We start from the raw sequence: 24,764 nt of genomic DNA, 5'->3' as shown, positions 1-24,764 counted from the left end.
TTCAGGGGCCCCTCTGCTGTGACACTTACCACTCATTTGCTCAGTGTCCTGACATTACTTGCTGTTGGGTTTCCACAGAACATCTTACAGTGCTTGGCCTGTGATGAGAACTGGATTAGAGTTTTTTTTACATGTTAAGAAGATATGCTTAGTTTTCTCTCTGAAAGTTGGTTTTGACAGGATGATGGTGGCCCTTGATAAGTTGCTGAGGATAGGTATTTCAAATCAAATATGCTCGAAAAAATGTATTAGCTGTGACCGAAAAGCAATGAGATTGTGTTTTTAAAAAATATACTAGAAGCCAAACCTATGCCAGCCTTCAAAATGTTCACTTGGGATCTCTGCACCTGCTTCAGCATGTTGCACTGTCTCAATATTAATAGTCATAATTTTGGGAGTCCTCTTTTGGAATTGCCTCAGAGTCTGCTGTGGATCCCCATGAAATGAAATCACTTTGCTTTAATCACACTTCAGGTTTCAGGTAATACATAGATTGGTGAATGAAATAAAATAAGCAGTTTTTTAGCATTGTATTTCTTTTGATTTCATCCTTCCTGTGAAACATACTGTTAGTGTTTAAAATAATCATGATCAGTCTAAATTAAACATTGTATGTTTCACTTGTAATGATAAAGTTAGTGTTTATTATGTATGTTTTATATAGTATATACATGTGTATGTGTATATATATAAAATAAACACAAATACCAACAGTTGAAAGAAAAGAGAAAACGAGAGCAAATATCTTGTGACATCTTAGTATGCCATGCCATAGTACATGTATAAAAAGGGTATAGTTGTCTGTTGACTTGCTGTGTGTTAAATACATAGTCATCACAGTGGTGTGTGTTTTATGACTAAATCATGATGCAATTATCTTTGGATCGTAGACTGCACTTTGGGGAGCCTAGAAAAATAGACTCATTTCTACCTCAGGGGCATCCTTTCCAAGTTAGAATGCTATTTATACAATAAAATGCAATGGCTAACCTAGAGACTGACTACTTTCTATTTTCCTTTACTACTGAATCGCCCCCTCCAGCTGTTTAGTAACTTCTTTTTGTACAATCAATCATGTATACAATATGTGGCTGCCCTTTTCCTCCTCTGTAGTCTGTCCTTTAAGAAAACAAGAGGCTATTTGAAAAAGGAAAAGCATCTGTGAAATGACTATTTTCATAGGAGTTTAGAAAAGTTAAAGAGTGCCTTGGCCCTGATTCTAAAAGAAAGGTTGTATCTTGCTACTGCAAAGTGAGAACTTTGAATCTAGTTAGGGTTTTTTTCAAAGATACAGTTCCCTCAGTGGCCCCAGGTAGTAAGCATGATGGCTCAGATAAATAAATACCTGTTGGTCACACTGTATATAGTCTCTCTGTTAATCACTTAGTGTTTCATGTTTGCTTTATGAAAACGTTGAAAAGATGCATCATTTTGAACCTTCCTGGGTACAGGTTTCAGTGGTACCCACATGTAATTTTATGTTTAGTTTGGGATTTAATAAAATTGAAGACACAGAGTATGAAACTAGATGGATCTTGTGTAGTAACTGTTTCAAAATCAGATTCATTGCTAAAGTGTACAAAAGCAGAATTATACACAGAGAAAACCAAGTCCCAAGTCTAGATGGGTGTGGCAATGCGCCTCATGATCCATTAACTTATCATTAAGAGCATAGGCTCTAGAGTGAGCTTCCTGAGTTCAAATCCCAGCTCTGCTATATCTAGGCAGTTCTCATAGCCTCTCATCTATAAAATGGGGATAAGAGTGTTTTGGCATAGACCTGCTGTGAAGATTAAGCGAGAGCATCTTCAAAGAGCTTTTAGGAGCAGTATCTGGCATATAGCAAGAGCTCAATGAATATTCATGATTATTATATTAGAGACAGTATCAGTACAGTGGTGTGTTATAAAAGTTTGCTTTTCTCTTAATTATGAATTACCTATATTTTGGACTCTGAGTTACGACTTTCTGGACCTTAAGAGCAAGGGTTGGTTCATCTTCATCTTTGTATTTTCAGTGCCTGGAATATGGCAAGTGAGCTTAATAAATAAATAATGACACACTGAATGAAAATGGGAGCCATCTGCATATCCCAAAATGAACTTTATGTGTTGAATAAGACACTCGATGTTATATCTTAATCAATGCCTGGTTTTGGCATTGGCTACATATTTTATAACTTCATTGATCCTGTTGCCTCACAGTAGGTGAAGCTGAATAACCCGAGTTACTGGGGAAGGCACACTGAGATTCTGTGGGTTTACAATGTGCCAAACCCTGTTGGTGGTACTTTCTCACTCTCAGGTGGCCATGCTGAGACTTGAACCTAGGTTTTCCGACACAGCTCCAGTGTTTTACCACAGAGGCTAAATATATCAGATTTCATCTGGTTCAACTGGAGGCATATAGTAGTATCTTGAGAATCCGGAAAGTGGAAAATTATATTTTAGGGGATCTTTCCATTCCTCTAAGCAACTGAGGTTTAGATCAAATGCCACTTCCACTATGAAACCTTTCTAGACCCTCCGAGCTGTATAAAGTCCTTATAAAGTCCTTTCTCTGTATTCCCAAAGAAATGTTTCTAAGTTTCTGCTATCATGTTTATCTTAGTGGCTTTCGGCATTACTCAAAAGTTTCCATTTAGACTTAGAGCTCCATGAAAGCAGCAGCCACGTCTTCATTATGTGTGTATATGAACTTCTTCACACGGTATGTGGCACATAGTAAAAGGCTCCATAAAGTTACTCATTTGCTGGTTGGATGGATAGATTCACGATCATTAATGCATGCTCTCTGATGTTTGCTACATCAATATGCTTGTAGAAATAGAAAAAGTAATAACAATTTGTATAAAATAGTTGTTTAGAACACTCAGATAGGGTGATTCTTATTTATGTTCTAGGCTCCTGGAAAGAATGAAGAATTGGGGCCACTAATTCAGTCTTCCACAAACATTCTTTTATTCTATTCGAGTCTATAGGTCTATATGTTGGGAGGGCCAGTGCCAAGGAAAAGGGCCATTTTGGTTTCAGTTGACCTCACGCTTTGCCTTGGATTGAGATTGATCCATGGTTGTCATAGATTGTTTTCTGTTGCTATAACGAAATACCTGAGACTGGATAATTTATAATGAACAGAAATATATTTAGGTCACAGTTCTGGAGGCTGGGAAGTCCAAGAGCATAACACCAGCATCTAGTGAGTGCCGTTTGCTGCAGAATAACATGGCGAGGATATCACATGGCCAGAGGGAAAGAGAATGCATGTCAGCTTAGGTCTCTCTTCCTCTTCTCATAAAGACACCAGTCTTACTGTGGGAGCCCTGCCCAGATGACCTTATCTAATCGCAGTTACCTCCCAAAGGCCCCACTTCCAATCAACACATAAATTTGGGGATTAAGTTTCCAACAACACATGAAATATGGGGGACACATTTAGACTATAGCAGTGTTGCTTTAGAGTTTGAATCCTTTGATGTCTTAAATTGATTGGTTTCCAGTCTTGAGGCAAAGTGGAACTCTTGCATAGTTGATGAGAGCGAGAGTCACAAACCTAATTATGTCAACACAACTGGCAGCACCTCTTATTTCTGGCTTTAGCTAGCTTAAGTGATAGAGCTTTGGATAAGTCTGTATTTTTCACACTTTTAGAAACCTCTTCTAACTGTTCATTTTAGCTCAGATGGCTTTTGGTTAATTTTAACTGTAAATATTTTTCCCCCTTTTTTCTTACAAATACTAGGCCCATGGCTGGGCGCGGTGGCTCACACCTGTAATCCCAGCACTTTCGGAGGCCGAGGAGGTTGGATCACCTGAGCTCAGGAGTTTGAGACCACCCTGGCCAACATGGCAAAACCCCGTTTCTACTAAAAATACAAAACAATTAGCAGGCTGTGGTGACACGTGCCTATAATCCCATTTACTTGGGAGGCTGAGGCAAGAGAATCGCTTGAACCCAGGAGGTGGAGGTTGCAGTGAGCCGAGATCACACCATTACACTCCAGCCTGGACAACACAGCGAGACTCCATCTCAAAAAAAATAAAAAAATAAAAAATAAATAAATAAATCCCTAGGCCCAGTCTTCAGCTGGTTTGCCCTGCTGCATTAATTTTAATCTTTTAAGGACCTTGGGTGACTCACTAGCCTTCCTGTTATGTCTTCTCAGTTGAGAGTTCCATAATGCGACAGGAAGAATTCAAGAAGGCAGATGTGAGATGTTTCCAAAATAGTTTAGGCATGCTGTGTTCTGGGGTAGATAGTGTGTTTTCCGAGTAAGATTTTAGCACTTCAAGGGTAAAATGCATAAAAGTATTTTTTATTTTACCCCCCTGAACTTAAGAAAGAAAAGAGTTTGTTCAGTTTGTGTTTTTGGAAAGTTCTATGCAAAAATATATGTTCCAGTGAATAAAGTAGTTTTGGGTTGCCTTCCATCATAAGGTATCATACGAGGTACTTCAGGGGACGGAAAGGTGATTACAATGAGATGAGTGGCAGCCAGAGTCTAACAATGGTTAATGAGCACAAGACAGCAGATGTATTCAAGGTGGAATCAAGGGAGGCCTGTGAGAGGCTTGAGTGCTAAGAAAAGGAAGAAACGTCAGTCAGTTGGGATGTGGATGTTAGGGCACTTGAAGTTATCTGTGCTGGAGATTGAATAGATTTTCAGTGATGGAGATCTGGGGAGAGCATTGTCCCTCAGAGCTGTTGAAAAGTAAAAAATCTTTCTTTTTCAAAAATTAACCACTAAAGAAGTTTATGATTGTTTTCTCTCTCTTTACTTCACGGATATTTTGAAAATACAGATTTTAGTTCTTAGTTTGGCAAGTTGTTTAGCTTCTGGGGAGAGGGTCCTGTGGACAGTGGCAGCTTAGGAAGCAACTGGAGGTAGGCCTCTAGGAGTCCTGTGTGAGGCTTCTCAGAAGTGCCAGGTGATGCTCTCATACCTTGGAGGTGGGCATGCAGCCCCCAAGATTGTGAAGGAGTGGCTCAGTGGGATCAGAGAGACAAAAACACTACTGGACACTTTCAGAAATTTTCTGGTCAAATTTCATCATGAGCTATTTGCCCAGATTAGTTTTCTTCACCAAAAACAAAAACAAGCAAACAAAAAAAAAACCCTTAAGTTGGCCAGGCGCTGTGGCTCATGCCTGTAATGCCAGCACTTTGGGAGACCAAGGCAGGCAGATCACGAGATCAAGAGATTGAGACGATCCTGGCCAACATGGTGAAACCCTGTCTCTACTAAAAATACAAAATTAGTTGGGCGTGGTGGCACGTGCCTGTAGTCCCAGCTACTCGGGAGGCTGAGGCAGGAGAATCACTTGAACCGGGAGGCTGAGGTTGCAGTGAGCTGAGATTGGCCCACTGCATTCCAGCCTGGGCAATAGAGTGAGACTCCATGTCAAAACAAACAAAACCCTTAAGTTAATAAATAATAAAAGAGGCTACAGAAATATTCAGATAGCAAACTCGAACAGCTCTACATCCATGGGGAATTGAAATGCATCTGTAACTTTACCATGATTTTTCACTGAGCAGTATTGGTCATATAAGTTAACAATAGTTCAAGAATTTGTGAATTTGTTCATCATGACTTTGTTGATGTTCATTAGTTCATTCATTCTTTCATTTGTTACATGTACACATGCCAGTCTTTTTTTTTTTTTTTTTTTTTTTGAGATGGGGTCTCGCTGTGTCGCCCAGGCTGGAGTGCAGTGGCACGATCTCAGCTCACTGCAAGGTCCGCCTCCCAGGTTCACGCCATTCTCCTGCCTCAGCCTCCCGAGTAGCTAGGACTACAGACACCCGCCACCACGCCCAGCTAATTTTTTTGTATTTTTAGTGGAGATGGGGTTTCACCATGTTAGGCAGGATGGTCTCGATCTCCTGACCTCATGATCCACCCGCCTTGCCCAAAGTGCTGGGATTACAGGCGTGAACCATCGTGCCCGGCCACATGCCAGTCATTTTTAAAAGTCAACTCTGTGTGCTGAGCTAGGTGCCTGAGACATAGAAATAGATTAAAACCAGTCTGTGATGTCACATAGCTCACATAAAGTTTCCTGTCTCTGTGAAGCCCTCACCATACGCAGAGTGCCTGACAAAATGTGTCTTTGTGTTCTTTGCTCCATTTTGCCCATCATACCTCAGTAAGTAAGAAAAGATAAAGCCCACTCCAAACCTTGGATAGCCTAAGCAAAGAAGAGGAGGAGATGTTAAGATGTTTTGTTGGTTTCTTACGGCTGGTGTAACAAATTATCACACACTTGGTGGCTTAAAACAATAGAAATTTGTGGCCGGGCGCAGTGGCTCACACCTGTAATCCCAGCAGTTTGGGAGGCCGAGGTGGGTAGACCATTTGAGGTCAGGAGTTCGAGACCAGTCTGGCCAACATGGTGAAACCCTGTGTCTACTGAAAATAAAAATTAAAAAAAAAAAATTAGTAATAAACAATAGAAATTTGTTCACCCATCATTCTGGAGGCTAGAAATCCAAAATCAGGCTGGGCGTGGTGGCTCACACCTGTAATCCCAACATTTTGGGAGGCCAAGGTGGGCGGATCACCTGAGGTCAGGAGTTCAAGACCAGCCTGGCCAACATGGTGAAACCCTGTCTCTACTAAAAATACAAAAATTAGCTGGACATGGTGGCAGGTGCCTGTAATTCCAGCTACTCAGGAGGCTGAGGCAGGAGAATTGCTTGACCCCAGGAGACGGAGGTTGCAGTGAGCCGGGATCATGCCACTGCACTCCAGCCTGAGCAACAGAGCGAGACTCTGTCTCAAAAGAAAAATCCAAAATCGAAATGTCATCAGGGTCTCGCTCCCTTTGAAGGCTTTAGGGTAGAATCCTTCCTTGCCTCTTCCAAGCTTCTGGTGGTTCCCAGAAATGTGTGACATTCCTTGGCTTGTAGCTGTACCTCTGTTTTCACATGGCCTTCTTATAGGGACACAAGTCATTTGATTTGGGACCTACCCTAACCTAGTATGACTTCACCTCAATTTAATTAATTATATCTACAAAGACTGTTTCCCAATAAGATGATACATGCTGAGGTTCTGGGTGGACATGAATTTTCGTGGGTATATGGTTCAACCCAGTACAGACATCTTACAGATAATTCCTTAATAGATGCAACATGGAGGAGATGTGAAAGAATGTTTGCGAGAATTATATTCAAAATTTTCAGGAAGGAAAGCTCATAGTTGCAGGTCTTGTGAGACTTTGAGTGGAATATACTGTAAGGGACTTCTAGATAGTTTGGGGTTACCTTTGTTCAAAGTCTTCATTGTAAAGATGAGGAAATTTTGGTGTGGACTGATGAATCCGAAACTACAACCTCAACTGAGATTGGGAATAAGTGTGGAAATGGTAGAAAAACATGATAAAAATAAAAGATAAAAACATGATAAAGACATGGCAAAGCTTAATATTTAGTAGTATGGCTCAGTTCTGGAGGGTGGCATAGTTGAGGGGTGCTGGCATATGGAAATGGCTTTATTCCTTTGATCAAAGCTTAGAAACAGACAGACAAGACTATCAGTAATAGCCATGTTTTTCTTATGTTAGTTCAAGAGACATTTATTTCTTAGGAAACATAGGATTTTATTAAGGAGCTATGCAGAATATAAAATAAAAGGATATGACTCTGACTTTAGGGCACTACAAAGGCAATATGATGCCATAAAGCATCAGAGATCACAAACAGCAATACTGAAGAACGCACAAACTCACAGGCAGATTTTGTTCCATGGACAGTGTTACAGAAAATGCTTAATTAGATGCCAGTGCTTAGAAATTGAGATATTTTACATAAAAATAGAGGACCTCTCATTCCTCTTGTAAATTCAGAAATCTCACAATGCTGAGCTCAAATGCCAAAGAGACAACAGTCAGCAGCAGCCCCTTTAGATGGGTCCTGTCCCCTCCAGCTCAAGGCATTGAGCTTGCAGCCCCCTGCTCCCACTATCAATGGACTTAGCCATTGTATACACATGGAACTGTTACGGTAGAAGAACCAGGCTAATGTTGATCTTGCCTGTTACAGCTGCATACAAGTGTGATGCCATAGTAGCAGCATCCTTGGATCTACAGTCTTCTTTTAATCATAGTCATCCTAGTCTCAGTCCCTTGCCTTCTGGTAGAATCAAAGTGTGACATGAACTGTTAAGCAAAACGTGCTTGAAATTTCTAAAGACATCTCTAGATGACTTCTCAGAGTCTTCCATCTGTTAATCTGGTTAAGAAGAGGGAAAACATTAGCTTTTCAAAACCTAGGATGTGGGTGGTTCATAAATTTTGTGCTCAAGTCTGACTCAGTTAATATGCCCAGTTTGCTTTCATAAATGTGGGGGTAGTTACCAGTTACCCTTGTAATTTATTTATTGTGTTTCCTCATTAGAACCCTTGGGTGCAAAACAGTGAGATAAAAGCTTCATATTCAAACAGATTTGACTGGAAAAATCAAATAATTTGACTATTAGAAAACCATATATGGTTAGCATTCCATGTGGAATGGTCAGAAAGTGAGAGAATGAGATGACCCCAGCCATTGGTGTTGGTACCTAAGAGGTGAGCTGATGCTTATTGTGTGTAAGCTTTTGTCTTTTTCTTTTTCTTTTTCTTTTTTTTTTTTTGAGGCGGAGTCTCACTCTGTCACCCAGGCTGGAGTGCAGTGGCGCGATTTCGGCTCACTGCAAGCTCTGCCTCCCGGGTTCAAGCGATTCTTCTGCCTCAGCCTCCCCAGTAGCTGGAATTACAGGCACATACCACCATGCCCGGCTAATTTCTGTATTTTTAGTAGAGGCAGAGTTTCACCAGGTTGGCCAGGCTGGTCTTGAACTCCCGACCGTAGGTGATCCGCCTGCCTTGGCCTCCCAAAGTGCTGGGATTACAGGCGTGAGCCACCACGCCCAGCCTGTCTTTTTCTTGAGCTTTTCATAGACTTACTCTTGAATATAATTGGATTTCATCCTCACAAAAATTCATCCTTAGTATAATTAGATGTTGTTAGTTGATATTTTTCTCCCTGCGTGTTACTTGAAGAATTCTTCATATAGAACTACACTGAATTGGTATATCTGGGATATCATAAAGGTAGATCTTTATCCTATAAATGGCTTGTTGGAGAAGCTGGTTTTGTTGTGTTGTTTATTACCAGAACATGTTTTCTCATATACATGATGGTGTATGTGATGGTTAAGGTATACAAGGTGGTTTGCCCATGAAAGTCTATTTAATCTCTAACAGACATGAAGAGTGTTATTAATAGAACCTTTCCCCAAAATGTTGTAGGGGAAAATGTCCCAGTTCCATGTGGAATTGTCAGAAAGTGAGAATGGAGATGACTCCAACTCCATGCCATTGGGAAGGGGCTGATGGGAAGTGTACCAAAGGAAGTTCAAGAACTGATGGAGGCCTCTAGGGATACTTCTCAGTAATGGACTAGCTCTGCAGTTCCTGCTTTGCTTTACAGTGGGGGACCTCTGACCAGTGTTTCCATTCATCCCTTGCTCTCTGTGGACAAAGAAGCTATTCCACAGCCTGTGCTCTTCCCTTTCTCCAGAACAAGCCTCAGCCTCTTCCAGGATTTCAAAGTGGCTTTCGTCTTTTAGTTGATGTCCTATCTCTCTCTCTGTCTCCTTTTTTTTTTAACTTTGTGTGCTTGGAACAAGGGCCCCAAGTTAGAGAATGGACTCTATGCAGAACACATCAGAGAGAAGCCGTTTCATCTCAGGCTCATTATATCTTTAATGGAAGATTATTGGATTGGTAATAATCTGGAATGTGATATGTTAACCTTAAACCACTCACAGAGTTCCTTGCAGTCCATGAATGTCTCTTATATGCTAGGAACTGAGTTTAGTGCTCTGGACGATTTCAAAATTGAGGGACAATATTTCCATCAGGGAACTCATGGGTTCCTTCTTCAAGATTCAACTCTGATGACATTTACCACTTTCTGTGGTTTAGGGTCAGACATCCTGCTTGTTCTAGCTCCATCACTTGCTTAACCTGTGAGCTCCAGGTTCCTTAATCTCTAAAATGAGAATAGTAATAGTAGTAATCTGCTTTATAAGATTGTCACATATAGCCCTTGGTACAACAGCTGGACCACAGAAAGCATTTTTTGAAATGTTAGCTGTCACTAGAATTACTGCCTTATTTCTCCTAGGAGAAGGAAAGTTTCCCAGGATCTAGGCCAGTTTGACTTTGCCCTTTTTAAATATTTATTTATTTATTTATTTATTTAGAGACAGGGTCTCACTCTGTTGCCCAGGCTGGTGTGCAGTGGCGTAATCACGGTTCACTGCAGCCTCAGCCTCCCTGGACTCAGGTGATCCCCCTACCTCAGCCTTCTGAGTAACTGTGACTACGGGTGCACACCACCACACCTGGCTAATTTATACACACACACACACACACACACACACACACACACACATACACACATATATATACATATACATACACACACACACACGTTTGTTTTTTTTTTGTAAATACGGGGTTTTACCATGTTGTCCAGGCTGTTCTCAAACTCCTGGGCTCAACGGCCTCTCAAAGTGCTAGGATTATAGATGTGAACCACTGTTCCCTGCCTTTTTTTTGTTAAGCCCCAGAAATAAGTTCTTACAATAGGTATTTATGTTTGAATGATTAGCACGACAATTAAACAATTATTTATACTAGTGGTAGAACAAATTCAAGGTAATAGCGTACCTCCAAGAAGTTCACAATAGTTAGGGAGATGCATAAATCCTTTGCTTCTCAAACTATGCAGGAGTATGCCCTTGGGATCTTACTGAAATGCAGACACTGATTCAGTAGGTCTGGGTTGGGACCTGAGATTCTGCATTTTAAAAATTCTAATTTTCAGTTGTAGAAATTTGCATTTTAAATAAACTCTCAGGTGATATTGATACCCCTGTTGCTTAGACACTTGAGTGGTGAAACTGAACTGTAAGCTGCAGAAAGAAGGAATCCAATCTTTGTTCCCTGCCATATCCTTAGTGCCTAGAATAAACAGTGCCCAGGACATTCTTCTTATTTTTACTGATTTACTTTTGAGACAGGTTGTCTGTCACTCTTTGCCCAGGCTAGAGTCCAGTGGTGCAGTCACAGCTCACTGCAGCCTCAACCTACTGGGCTCAAATGGTCCTCCCACTTCATTTCCTGAGTAGCTGGGACCACAGGTACATACCACCAGACCTGGCTGTTTTTTAATTTTTAATTTGTAGAGACAGGGTCTCCCTATATTGCCCAGGCTGGTTTCGAACTCCTGAGCTCAAGCAATCCTCCTGTCTCAGCCTCCCAGAGTACTGGGATACAGGTGTGATGCAGAGTAGTAGGATACTGTATCTCAGGATACCTGGCTCCTGAGACATTCCGGTGTTCAATAAATATTGTGGAATAAATATAATTACCTCAAAATATAGTAGTCCTTGTTCACAGTTTCACTTTCTGTGGCTTCAGTTACCTGCAATACACCGAGGTTGGAAAAAATTCCATGGAAAATTCTAGAAATAAACTATAAGTTTTAAGCTGCACACCGTTCTCGGTAGCGCAATAAAATCTTGTGCCATCCTGCTTCATCCCGCCCAGGATGTGAGTCATTGCTTTGTCCTGCACACCCATCCTGCCTATGAAACCGACCTGTGAGTTGCTTAGTAGCCGTCTGTCTCTGTTTCCAGATCAGCTGTTGTAGCATTGCAGTGCTTGTGCTCAAGTCACCCTTATTTTACTTAATAATGACCCAAAGCACAAGAGGAGTGACGCTGGCAATTTAGATATGCCAAAGAAAAGCTGTAAAGTGATGTTGTTTTATGTATTTGAAAATCTCTTTAATGTACGGCTTCATCAAAGGCAGCTGAATTTGCTTATCTGCCTTTATCCTTAGTGTATCTCAGTAAATTTGGTTTTGGTTGAAGTAGGTAAAGAAAACCCTGCTGGCCTAATACAGATACATAGGTTAAAAAGGGACGACTATTTTAATAGTTGTTCAGGCAATTGTGGATATTCTTTTTTGATGTTACACCAAAATTCCATAATTTCTAATTTCTTAAAGATTAGTTTTAATGTGGAATCTGAAATGATAATAATAAGCTTGTTTGCACTCTTATATTAAAATCTATTGGTCTGTCATACATTTTGAGTGGATATTTATCCATACATAATTTTATAACATCATGCGTTGGTTATTTGGAACATATTGGTTCAGTGAGTTATGAAGATCTTCCAAATGTTGAAACATTTCATTATGCAATATGAAAATATTACATCTGTGAATCTTAACCATCTCATTAGAAAAGTCTTCCATTATTGGGAAGCTGTCAAGCTCACTGTGATAGATACAAGTTTTCCAAAATTCTGATTTTTGCTTAAAAGCTTGCATTTGATCATTGCCAACAAATAGTGTCAGTTGTTTTCCTTGAAGTGACAGGTCCACCTCATTTATTTTTGTGAAAATGTCTACCCAATACCCAAATTTGAATAACCATAGTTTGTCTGTCAGTTGTTCTTTCACGTAAATGAGGTATTGTGTGGAGAAGCAGCTAGTTCAACTTGCAACTCAATCACGTGTACTTTTCCTTGAAATGACAGCCCTACTTCAGTATGCCATGGAAGCACTTTATGTGTACCTTCATTAAAAACATAATACTTTGGGGTTGAGATTTAATAAAATTAATAATTTTTACCGCTTCAAGGACGTTATTACATTGGGGAACACAATAACCACTAATATAGCTTATGCTACTGTCTTGCTTCATGCTGAGATGCCAGCAATGTTATCATTTATTTTTTGTGCCCTATCACTTAAATGTCAACACAGTGAAAAGGGTTGTAAATAACATCTGAGTGTTATGAAAATAGCTTCAATCTCTGAGACTCCTCGAAGTTCCCTTTGGGAACTTCTGCTCTAGGTATGAGGATCAGTGCTCTTAGCAATTTGGTTGGAAAGAAGAGTCTTTGAAGAATGATAACTGTGAGAGAGAAAGTCAAATAGGTAGGTAGAGGCCAGAGAATGTGCTAATGTACTTAACTGACCTTGCTTTTGTTAATGAAACATGAGTGATGCTTATGAGAAAAGGAATGCCCTTTGTAAGGTAGAGTTTAAAGAAAGTATATCTGATATTGGTGGCTAGAATATGTTTGTGGGGTAAAGTGTTAATGTTGCTGAAACACCAGAGGTTTGGTCTAGGACCTGCTGCTTGACGCACAGAAAGCCATTTAATGAGATGAGTATTGCCAAGTAAGAAGGCTTTAATCGGGTGCTGCAGCTGAGGAGATGGGAAATCAGTCTCAAATGCATCTCCCCGACACACTAAACTTAGGGGTTTATATAGTAGGGAAGAAATGTAACCACATGTGGGAAAACAGGAATTAGGGAGGTGTAAGGAAGAGGAGCTGGTCAACAGGAAGCAGGTGGTTGGATAGGCAATCATGATAGGTGAGGGTGAGGGGTCTGGCATCTCATTGTCCATATGCAGCGGTCATGTAAGTTTCAGCTCCTTCATGCTATCTGGGAGGCTTGATGGTTGAGTTCCTGAAAAAGGAACTCAGCTAAGACAAAAGTAACTTTTTCAAGTTTTAAGACTGGGAGGATCAATTTCTATGTTTATTCAAAGAAACCATAAATATCAGCACTGTGGGACAATTGGGTCAGTTTCAAAAGGAGGCAGGTGATTATGAGAGTTTTACAGTAATTTGTTTAGATTATGAGGACTGGACAAGATTAGTAGTTTTAAAAATAGAGTGGAAGTAGAGGAAAGGATGAATCTCTAGAATTTAGTGATTGATTGGATGTGGGTGGAGAGGGAGTGAGTAGAATCAAATATGTCAGATTTTCAAGTTGAAGACTAAGAAAATGTTAGTTTTCAGAAATAGTAGAGATGGGAGGAGGAGCTAATTGTTGGAGAAAGATGATGTGTTTGATTTTAGACATGTCAGTTGAGATGATGTGGGAATAATAGCCAAGGACTGACATCCTCAAGATAGAGTTGTCGTTTTTAGGGAGAAGTCAGAGAGATTCAGACTTTGTCACCTGGACACCAAATTTCTGCACCCTGTCTGGGACTCGTGTATGTCCTTTATTTTAACCAAGATTCAGAGGGGTGATCAGATGAGGATGGGGTGGAAACATGGGTGGCTTAAACAGATTGGGTGTTATTAGAGAACTGCCTTAAAAAACAAAACAAACAAACAAAAACAGTGAAATACTTATAATGGTTTAACCAGTCTTCGTTTTTCCTCATCTTAAATATTAAATTCAACTTAGCCATAGTTCTAGAAAAATGGCTAGATATCTCATTCACCAATGAACTCTCAAATACAGTGATGACACATCCCATTTCTCTCATTTCTAGTTCTCTACAGTAAAGTGAAGGGGCCACTTGTAGAAAGACAAGCATGCTTGAGCACTCACAAACTGATGTTCAGAATCTCTGCCAAGTGAGACACTCAACAGATGTAACCTCAGTGAAATAACTGTGGCCAACAATCTAGCTAAGAGGCTCTAAAACCAGGCATTAAAAGCAGATCCATGGCGGGGCACGGTGGCTCACATCTGTAATCCCAGTATGTTGGGAGGCTTAGGCAGGAGGATCTCTTGAGGCCAGGAGTTCAACACCAGCCTGGGCAACATAGTGAGTCTCTGTTTCTGTTAAAAAAATGTTTAAGGGCTGGCACGGTGGCTCACACCTGTAATCCCCAGTACTTTGGGAGGGTGAGGCAGGAGGATTACTTAAGTCTAGGATTTCAAGACCAGCCTGGGCAACATGGCAAGACCCTGTCTCTGTAAAATTAAAAAATTAGCCAGACATAGTGGCACATGCTGGCGTCAGCTACGTAGGAGGCTGAGGTAGGAGGATTTAACTCAGGAAGTCGAGGCTGTAGTGAGCTGTGTTTGTGCCACTGCACTGCAGCCTGGGCAACAAAGTGAGTCTGTTTCAAAAAAAAAAAAAAATTTTTTTTTTTTAAACATTAGCCAGATATAGTGGCACATACCTGTGGTCCCAGCTACTCAGGATGCTAAGGCCAGAAGATCGCTTGACCCTGGCATTTGAAACTATGATGGTGCCACTACACTCCAGCCTGAGCAACAGAGCAAGACTCTGTCTCAAAAAAAAGATCCATTTCTGACGGATGGACTTATTAATCAACTTCTCGAGAAATACTAAAGCCAAAATAAGAAACACTGGAGCCAAAATAAGAATCTATTAATTTGTTATGAGAATTACCACTCTCCTAGGTGTTAGATTTCTTGGTACTGCATGTTCAGTGCACATTCTCAATGCCAGTGTATTATTTTCCAAATAGAAATAATTACTCAACTGCATAGGAAACCCAAGCATAAGCTTGTTTGCTTGGGGAACATGGTTTCAGCCAAAGGGGTGTTGGATGAATCAAATATTTAAATGGTCTCAGGCTGGGATAGTCTGAGGCGCGCTGTCCTTCTTTCCCTTGAGATGATGCTACTTGGGACCTAGAATCCTTGAAGTGCATTGCCTAAGAGTCCCTCTTCAGAGAAAAGGGAATGATTGCTTTTTTTTTTAAGGTACTTACATTTTTGATCAATACAATCTTTCTTAAGATACAGTAATATTTTCCTTCTTTATTTCTTTCCCTCCTTCCCTCCCTCCCTCCTTCTCTCTCTCCTTCCTTCCTTTTTCCTTTCTTCTTTTCTTTTCTTTTTTTTTTTTTCCGGAGTCTTGCTCTGTCGCCCCAGGCTGGAGTGTAGTGGCACAATCTTGACTCACTGCTACCTCCGCCTCCCAGGTTCAAGCGATTCTCCTCCCTCAGCTTCCCGAGTAGCTGGGACTATAGGCATGTGCCACCACGCCTGGCTAATATTTTGTATTTTTAGTAGAGATGGGGTTTCACCATGTTAGCCAGGATGGTGTCAATCTCTTGACCTCATGATCCTGCCCACCTCACCCTCCCAAAGTGCTGGGATTACAGGCATGAGTCACTGCACCCGGCCCAAGATACAGTAATATTTTCTACTGAGTTAAAGATAAGTCATACTATGTTTGGGAGACATCTTATCTCACTCTTACTCCATTTCTTGGTTTTGATCCATTGACTGATTCAACTATCATACTTTAACTTCAAGAGCAATCTTATTTTCTTCATTTGCAAGTCTTGGAGAAAATCTCGTTGCAGCTAGTAAGTTTGGCCTGTAGTCTGTCTGCATCAGAACTCCTAGGTGTTTCTTTTTTTTTTTTTTGAGATGAGTCTTGCTCTGTTGCCCAGGCTGGAGTGCAGTGGCGCGATCTCGGCTCACTGCAAGCTCCACCTCCCAGGTTCACGCCATTCTCCTTCCTCAGCCTCCCGAGTAGCTGGGACTACAGGCGCCCGCTACCGTGCCCGGCTAATTTTTTGTAATTTTTAGTAGAGACGGGGCTTCACCATTCACAGGATGGTCTTGATCTTCTGACCTTGTGATCTGCCTGCCTTGGCCTCCCAAAGTGCTGGGATTACAGGTGTGAGCTACCGCGCCCAGCCTCTCCTAGGTGTTTCTTTAAATGTAGATACCTGGGCCCTACCTGTGCCTTACAGACTCAGACGCAGGTAGTGGGTCTCAGGAACCTGCATTTTAACTTCCTCCTCTATGCATCATTTGAGAAGCATGGCTCAGATTCTGACACAGGAACTGCTTTAGTTAGGGCCTTCTGTTGTGTTTGAAGTGCTGTGTTCCTATTATAATGGATACTGATCTGGCTAACATTTAACAAGAATCACAGCCTTAATGAAAAACGTGGAAAACATTTATTTTCTTTTAAAAAATAATATTTTCTTTTGTTTTTGATAGAATCAAGTAGAAGTGGCCAGGCATGATGGCTTATGCTGTAATCCCAGCACTTTGGGAGGTTGAGGCAGGAGGATTGCTTGAGGCCAGGAGTTTGAGACCAGCCTGGGCAACATAATGAGACTTCATCTCTATAAAAAATAAACAAAAAATTAGCTGGGTATGATGGCACGTGCCTGTAGTCCCAGCTACTCAGGAAGCTGAGGTGGGAGGATCTCCTTGAGCCCCGGAGGTCAAGGCTGCAGTGAGCCAAGATCACACCACTGCACTTCAGCCTGGGAGACAAAGGGTAACCCTGTCTCAAAAAACATTTTTGTTAAAAAAAAAAAAAAAAAAAAAAAAGAGAGAAGAGTTCTTAATTGCTCCTGTGCTCCAGAAATTAAACTACTGGAAATCTCTTCTCTTGTTCTTGTCCCTAAAATGGAATTTGTGCCATAAGCTTTACTGCACTATGAACACTGAATATTTAAATCCCAGCTGTGCTATTACTAAATGGATGATTGTGGCTGAGTCACTTAACACCATACGTTTCCTCCTCTGTCAAATAGGGTTAATAATAGTCTCTGCCTTGTGGGGTGGTTGTGATGATTAACTGAAACAAGACATGTGGGGCACAGAACGTAGTGATTGCCATGTAGTAAGGGCTCAGCAAAAATTGGATTTTATAAATATTCTGGTATGGAAAATTAATTCTCCCACTGAAGGAAAAGCACAGAGAGAGAGTAAAAGAGGGACTACGATTGTGTACACAAACAGAAAATAACTTCAGATAAGCAGCAGAGTAGACTAGAACAAGTAGGCAGGAAGACAGTGTTTCACAACGTAGAGATCCTGCACATGGCAGGCCGGCCTATCTCCATCCGGCCCTGTGGTTTGGCTTGTTCGTCATTGCCCATGAGCCTCGGTCTTACTTGAAGGGGTGAGGAAGGTGATGGGTCCTGAGGGTGGTGCAGCTCCCTGGCCTGGACATCGGGGGTCGGTCTTCTGCTCGTGATACTCCTGCTCGCTGGCTTCATACTTCCCGCGTTACTTCCAGGGGTTACCAGCGTTTCCATCCAGTCATTTCACACACCTCATTGAACAATTTTCCAAGTGTTGGTTTGCTCTCTTCCTTACTACATATTAATGAGGTGTCCAAGACTGCTGTTCAGCACGTATCTAAAATGTTGTTTAACTACATCAGAAGGTAAATCTATAGCTGCTGAAGCGAACTAAAAAGCTGTGTCAATCTGGTGCAGTGGCTCACACCTGTAATCCCAGTGCTTTGGGAGGCTGAGGTGGGAGGATAGTTTGAGGCTAGGAGTTTGAGACCAGCATGGGCAACATAGAAAGACCCCCCCCCATCTCTACCAAAAATAAATAAATAAATAAAATTAGCTAAGTGTAGTGCCGTGCACCTTTAGTACCAGCTACTCGGGAGGCTGAGGCAGAGGATGTCACTTGGGCCCAGGTGGTCAAGGCTATAATTATGCCACTGGCTTCCAGCTTGTGCAACAGAGTGAGACCCTGTCTCTTAAAAACAAGCAACAAACAAAAAAGGCAGCTGCATTGATAATCAGTCAGGTAAAGCATCGTCATTTTCACTTTCAAAAAGTTGTTCTGAGTATTAAGTGTTAGCAAAGATGCTTTTCTCTCTGTAGTATTTTTAGCCTTAACAGTTTTCACTCTTAATTTCAGTGTGAGTGTGGTGTGTGTGGTGTCTGTGCGTGAGTGTGAGAGAGAGAGATGGGGAGGAGGAGGGAGAGTGAGAGCAGTGTTCTGATTGTAGAACACCCTCACAGGTAGAATTGTTATAACTTTCTAATTGCAGACCACTCTCATAGAAGATTCTTAAGGAAACCTCAGCCCACCTTCTGAAGGGATGAGACGAGTAGCATCTTCAAGTGAAATGCCCTCTGGGGTCTGAAGGTTCTAAAAAAAATCCTAGAAAACCAAGGAAGATGGTGAATTATGGAAGAACTACCCAGATGATTTTCAAAGCTGTAAATTAACAAGTGTGTCTGTTTTAGGAGGAGGGGGTGAAAAGTCTAGGGTGTGTGTGTGTGTTTTTCTTTCTTCTTTTCTCTGTTCACTTGCCAAAAACAAACAAAAATGACCTCACTTCAGACACAGGGATAAAAGCAGGAGGAAATTGCTATAGTTAGAACACTATAGGTTTTTTTTCCCCCTGTACTTTTTGGATACATATTTTTAAAAAAATAAATAGGATCACTTACTCTGGCCTAGCACAATTTCATCTAAAGTGTTTTGAAAGTTATAGTCTTAATTTTAGGGACAGAATAGGTTATCGTAAGGGGTGTGAGGGTTTTTAAATGCAAGGCATTTTCCAGGGGACTTTTAAAAATCAATACCAGGAAGCAAAATAAAAAATTTAAAAATCAAAACCCAGCAAGGCACGGTGGCTCACACCTGTAATCCTAGCACTTTGGGAGGCCAAGGCAGGCAGATTTCTTGAGCCCAGGAGTTCGAGACCAGCCTGGGCAAAATGGTGAGATCTCATTTCTACAAAAAAAAAAAAAAAAAAAAAAGCAAAACACACACACACACAACAAAATTAGCCATGCGTAGTGGCACACATCTGTAGTTCCAGCTACTCAGGAGGCTGAGACGAAAGTTGCAGTGAGCCAAGATTGCACCACTGCCCTGCAACCTGGGCAACAGAGTGAAACCTTGCCTCCAAAAAAAAAAAAAATGAAACTCAGTCCAAAATGACCAGAAATCTATGTAGTTAGCAGAGTAAATCTTACCCCTCCCTGCCCCCAACCCCCATTCAGGGTTTCCTTCCTTTCTTTTTCCTCCATTTGCCTCCATAGAGCATATCAACCCAATTTACACCTTCATGAGCTGTAACCTAGAGTCTTTGCTCTGCTTGGCAGAAGAGGAAGAGAAGATGCCACATACAGTTTGGAGTAGGATGATGACACAGTTTTTAAAATGATGGATGCAGTTTGGTATGAAATGAATCACTGTTTAATCTGTGTTACTTTGCTCATATGGACACACTTGGACTCAGCACCCACTTCCTGTGCAATGGCATATTTGGTCTGGGTTACGTTGGGGTGAAGCATTTCCCCCATGAGCTTGCCACAACTCCATCAAGAAGCCTTCTGGAAGTGCGAAAGGTTTGGAATGGTAGGCTGTGGAAATCCTGAGCTGTTTGCTGAGTTTCTCCCTGCCTTCCTCCCTTTCTCCTTTCTTGTGTGTGTGAAAAGCGGTTATGGCACAGTGTCTTTCATGAGAAATGATTGGCTTGGGATGAATCTCACCACTCCTTTCTGGCACTTTTGCAAAAAAGAACACTTTTTTTCACGGTAGACACCGGATACAACTGGAATATTCTTCTGATGTCCAACAACAGCTGGAGAGAGAAAGAGAGAGAGAGACAAGAGGGGAGGGGAGAAAGAGAGAGGGAGAGAGAAGAAAGAGAGAAAGCCTATAGCACCTGGTATTCTCATGGTGGTCTCCCATCCAAGTTCTAACTAGACCTGACCCTGCTTAGCTTCCCACATCAGATGAGATCTGGCAAGTTCAGGGTTTTATGGCCATAGACCCCTTCCACTTTAAAGCTGAGTAATTAATATTCCACTGTCTGTATATACCACGTTTTGCTTATTCAGTCATCTATGGATGGACACTTGGGTGGTTTCCACATTGTATCACTCCCGCTTTTGAGAACCCTTGTGGAGCAGCAACCCAGGTATCATTTAATAAAAGGCTCCTCTCTATAAGTTTTAGCGTTTTATATGTACTCTTTAGTTTTCTTCTTTTCTTTCCCAGTTGAGCAGACAGTTTATTGAAGATCTCTTTGAGGCCCAGAGTTGCTTTTCCTGAATACCCAGTGATTGTTATCTTGCTGCCATTGGATTAGGAAGTCTGGTTTGCAATATTTAATCTATGAATATGTTGTCTGCGACACTGCCCCTAAACAAACACATTCCCCTTCCGACGAGGCTCGGATGACACAGAGATCAGCTTAAAGCTTGGGACAGCGAGACCTGGACTCAGTAGGGGGCTGTATCAGTCTGTGCAGTGCATGCACCTCTGCACATCATGATAAATTGTTTATTGGAGTACAGTAGAGAATAAATAACCAAACAAGCAAATTAACAAAGCAAATAGGTAGCTAGTTTGGAAAACTGGCCACATCTGGGATGGATTTGGGAAAAAAAAAATGTAGTTTCTCCTTCTACTCAAGGGAAATTAAAAACTCTTGCATTTTATTGATTTCCTCTAAGCTCATCTGCACATTGTTTTTACAAAAGCTAAGTGGTGACATAAAGCCCATAATTTTGGGAGGCATAGATTTTTAGATGCAGAGATTTTGGTTTTGCTCCCAGGAAATGAACGTTTTCTGCAGAGGAGGCATCTACCTCTGGAAGCCATTTCTCATGTTCAATCTAGTGTGATCAGTGACCAGTTGAGGGGGAAAACGATTCTCTCTGAGCTTTGCTTGGCTTTTCCTTTTGCCACCAAGCCACTGAAAAGTATAGGAAGAGGCAAGGCATTGCAACATGGGATAGCTGCCTCCTATACGAGACTGTTAATACTGTGTATCAGTAAGTGAGGTGGAAGAGGGAGTTAGGTTATCAGTTTGTTTCTCACCCACTTTATGAACATTGCAAATTCTAGAAAAAAAGTACTCTGGGGCCAGGCGCAGTGGCTCACACCTGTAATCCTCACTCTTGGGAGACCAAGGCGGGTGGATCACGTGAAGTCAGGAGTTCAAGACCAGCCTGGCCAACATGGTGAAACCCTCGTCTCTACTAAAAAATTATCTGAGTGCGGTGGTGCATACCAGTAATCCCAGCTACTTGGGAGGCTGAGGCAGGAGAATTGCTTGAACCCGGGAAGCGGAGGCTGCAGTGAGCCAAGATCATGCCACTGCACTCCAGCCTGGGTGACAGAGTGAGTGAGACTCTGTCTCAAAAAAAAAAAAGACTTTGGATTGCAAATGAAAACTCATTATTTATTTATCATTCGTCACAGTAATATTAATTATATTTATACCGCATAGTAGCCCCTGGCTTTTTTTTTTTTTTGAGACAGTCTTTTTTTTTTTTTTTTTTGAGACGGAGTCTCGCTCTGTCGCCCAGGCTGGAGTGCAGTGGCACGATCTTGGCTCACTTCAATCTCCGCCTCCTGGGTTCAAGTGATTCTCCTGCCTCAGCCTCCCGAGTAGCTGGGATTACAGGCACCCACCACCATGCCTGGCTAATTTTTTTGTATTTTTAGTAAAGACAAGGTTTCACCATTTTGGCCAGACTGGTCTCGAACTCCTGACCTTAGGTGATCCGCCTGCCTCCACCTCCCAAAGTGCTGGGATTACAGGGCATGAGCCACCATTCCTGGCCTAGCCCCTGGCATTTTAAAACAAAACAGTGGGTTGTTGGGAAGTAGTAAACTTTAATTAACTTGAATTCAAGTACATATGCATCAAAATAAAGACTTCCAGCACAAGTGCAATGGGAATAACACATTTGGGTTAAGTCTGGATCTGGTGCTGTTGGGATTGTGTGTGGCTTTGATATGACTTTGGAATTCTTGTGACAGAATTGGCTTTGAGTTATCCTTGGGGCATAGTCACTTAGTCATGGTGACCATTTGTTTCTCACCATATGAACAGTCTGATCATTTCCATTATCTCATTTAGTTCACAAAATAATCCTGCTTGTAATTATTCGTATATTTCAGACAAGGACAGCGAGGTTTTGAGAGATCAATTTTATCTGGTGAACACTAATGTTTGAATATAAAAATCTCATTTTAATATGGTGGAAGACCATGAAATCTTAGCATTCGAGGGACCTTAACTTTTATTTACCCTTCTCTCCTTTCTAATTCCCTTCTGCTCCATTCTAGAGAGGTGACCATTCAACACATGCTTAGGATGAATCTGCTAGATTCTTAGAGAGAGGCTTAATAGCTCACAGAATCATTTATAGTTTAAAAGAGTTCTAGAAACAGGGCACTCACAAACATGATGGTACATATCTACTTACCGAAGCTCTTCTGCCTTTTCCATTTTGTGGCCATCAACCAGAACCCTCATGAGAATTCTCACGTCCTAGTTCGGAGAGTTAGACACACAGAGACTGTGTGCAGTCCTTCATTTTGCAGAAAAGATGACTATCTAATTTTAAATACATTTCAAAGAGTTAGCCATTGGATTGAAAGGTCAAATCTAAAAAAAAATGAAATATGAAATAGACCATCTTATCCTTTAGGCACAAATCAATACTTAAAGAGAACGAGGCACATTAAAATGAAGAATAGGTTCAGTATAATTTGTAATCAAACCGTCAAACCTTCCCGCTGATGATTGTGTAACTTTACATTTTAAAAATTGCTAAACTGAGAAAGAAAACAACTTCTGCCAAATGCTGAAGTATGTTTTGTGCCTGTTAAGTTTTAAATAAATCTTTTAAACTTTGGCAGGAAATCAGATATCTGAGTAATAAAAGAAATTTATTATTATTTTGATGATATGCTTAGTATCATATTGTTTAACTTTGAACCCTTTCTTTTAAAGTGAGTAAAATGGCAAGCTGTGGAAAAGAGTTAAAATTTTTACCTACTACTTCTCTTAAGGATAATAGTAATTTCTTAAGAGACACTAATTTAATTTTCCTCCTATACTGTGCAAAAAGAAATGTCCTGGTCCTTTTAACTGATATGATTTTTGGCTTTGCTTTAAATTATTGATTACATTTTAAAAGGGGAGGGACTTTCTGATGAGAATAGCACTCTCTTTAATAGCCTTTCACAAAATCAATTTCCCCCATTCCTGTCGTACTCCTTTGCCGTATTGACGGTTAAGAACCTTGGAAAGAATCTTTGTTTCCTAAATTTATCTTAATAATTTTTCATTATTTTACACCTGCATGTTTATTCAAGCAATTTGAAATAAAGATCTTTTTGAATGATTTCTTCAGTGCTTTCACGAGGGCTGTGTAAGGGACTTTGCTATTTAGGTGGCACTCATGAGTGATGGATTAATGCAGTAGATTCCAGGACCAGATGTCCCTGTTTCTAGATCTCAGCTCTTGAATGGAGTAAGTCAGATCCTGCATCAGTGTCTTTCAAACTGGAGGCAGTTCAGTATGAACACATTTTTCCTAGTGGCCTCGTTCCCAGCTCATCCAGACAAGGAAGCATTGATACCATTTGCACGTGGAACTTCAGCAATGTAATGTCCAGGCAAATGAGTATGTGTGCATTATGTGTACTCTCCCACACAAAATCTGATTCTACTTGGGCTAATTCACTAAATTCTTGTTTACACATGAAGCTGTTTATTTTGCTTTGAATGGGAAGCTGTTTTGGAGTCATGTGAAGAAGGATAGAAAACTACTGAGAAATGTAGCTCAAAAACCTGGAGGATGCTGGTAGCAGATGAGTTGGGAGTGGATTGCATGGTGACAACCAGAGAGCGTAAGTAGTCTCTTATTACGTACAGTATTTCATTGGTTATATCTTGCTTCTGGATTGTTTTGGAATTTTTTTAGCCTTACTATTTTATTAGACTGGCAGGGGAATCATAAATGGAGGAAATAAATAATTTTGAGTTGATGGAGTAGCTTGAGAAGATTGTCTCAAATTCAAGTTTTTGGCTTTCTTGTGTGGTCAGGTATTGAAGTTTGAAAATTGTGATCTGTGGAGCTTAAAGGTTTTTCAAATAGAACTAGGAGCCCTTACAAAACTTCTCTTTTGTTATTTATGTGTCACTTATTTCTTCTCTGGGACAACCTATTACCGGAGTTGAAAAAGTCTGTACTTAAGATAATTTGGATCAGCAAGCTTATTATCAGTGATGTTTTTCTTGCCCAATTTGACCTATATCTAGAAATGCTTTGCTCAACTTTCTAGAAATTACTGATACTCATCTTTTTCCCCAGCTTTGTTCTAACTCAAATTTGGATAATTTTGTGTCATTATCTTTCTGTTGTTTTAATACT

The 24,764-nt window shown here is 40.9% G+C and overlaps 1 protein-coding gene and 1 pseudogene across 51 annotated transcripts in view, besides 1 other annotated feature; one reads left to right on the top strand and one right to left on the bottom strand.

The window, feature by feature from the left end:
- APBB2 (amyloid beta precursor protein binding family B member 2) overlaps positions 1–24,764 on the top strand; it is a 404,516-nt gene that overhangs the window by 204,030 nt on the left and 175,722 nt on the right. The window lies entirely within an intron of this gene.
- Positions 19,331–19,400: a silencer, noted in NCBI's record as "silent region_15384". NCBI's record gives its function as "represses an Ori minimal core promoter by ATAC-STARR-seq in GM12878 lymphoblastoid cells {active_cell/tissue: GM12878}" and the evidence as "EXISTENCE:reporter gene assay evidence [ECO:0000049][PMID:35858748]".
- Positions 20,240–20,359, bottom strand: RNA5SP160 (RNA, 5S ribosomal pseudogene 160; annotated as a pseudogene).

Source organism: Homo sapiens, chromosome 4 (assembly GCF_000001405.40).
Source record: "Homo sapiens chromosome 4, GRCh38.p14 Primary Assembly".
NCBI classification, from domain to species: Eukaryota; Metazoa; Chordata; class Mammalia; order Primates; family Hominidae; genus Homo; species Homo sapiens.
The sequence above is the reverse complement of the archived record's forward strand: the minus strand, read 5'-3'. Positions and strand labels throughout refer to the sequence as shown.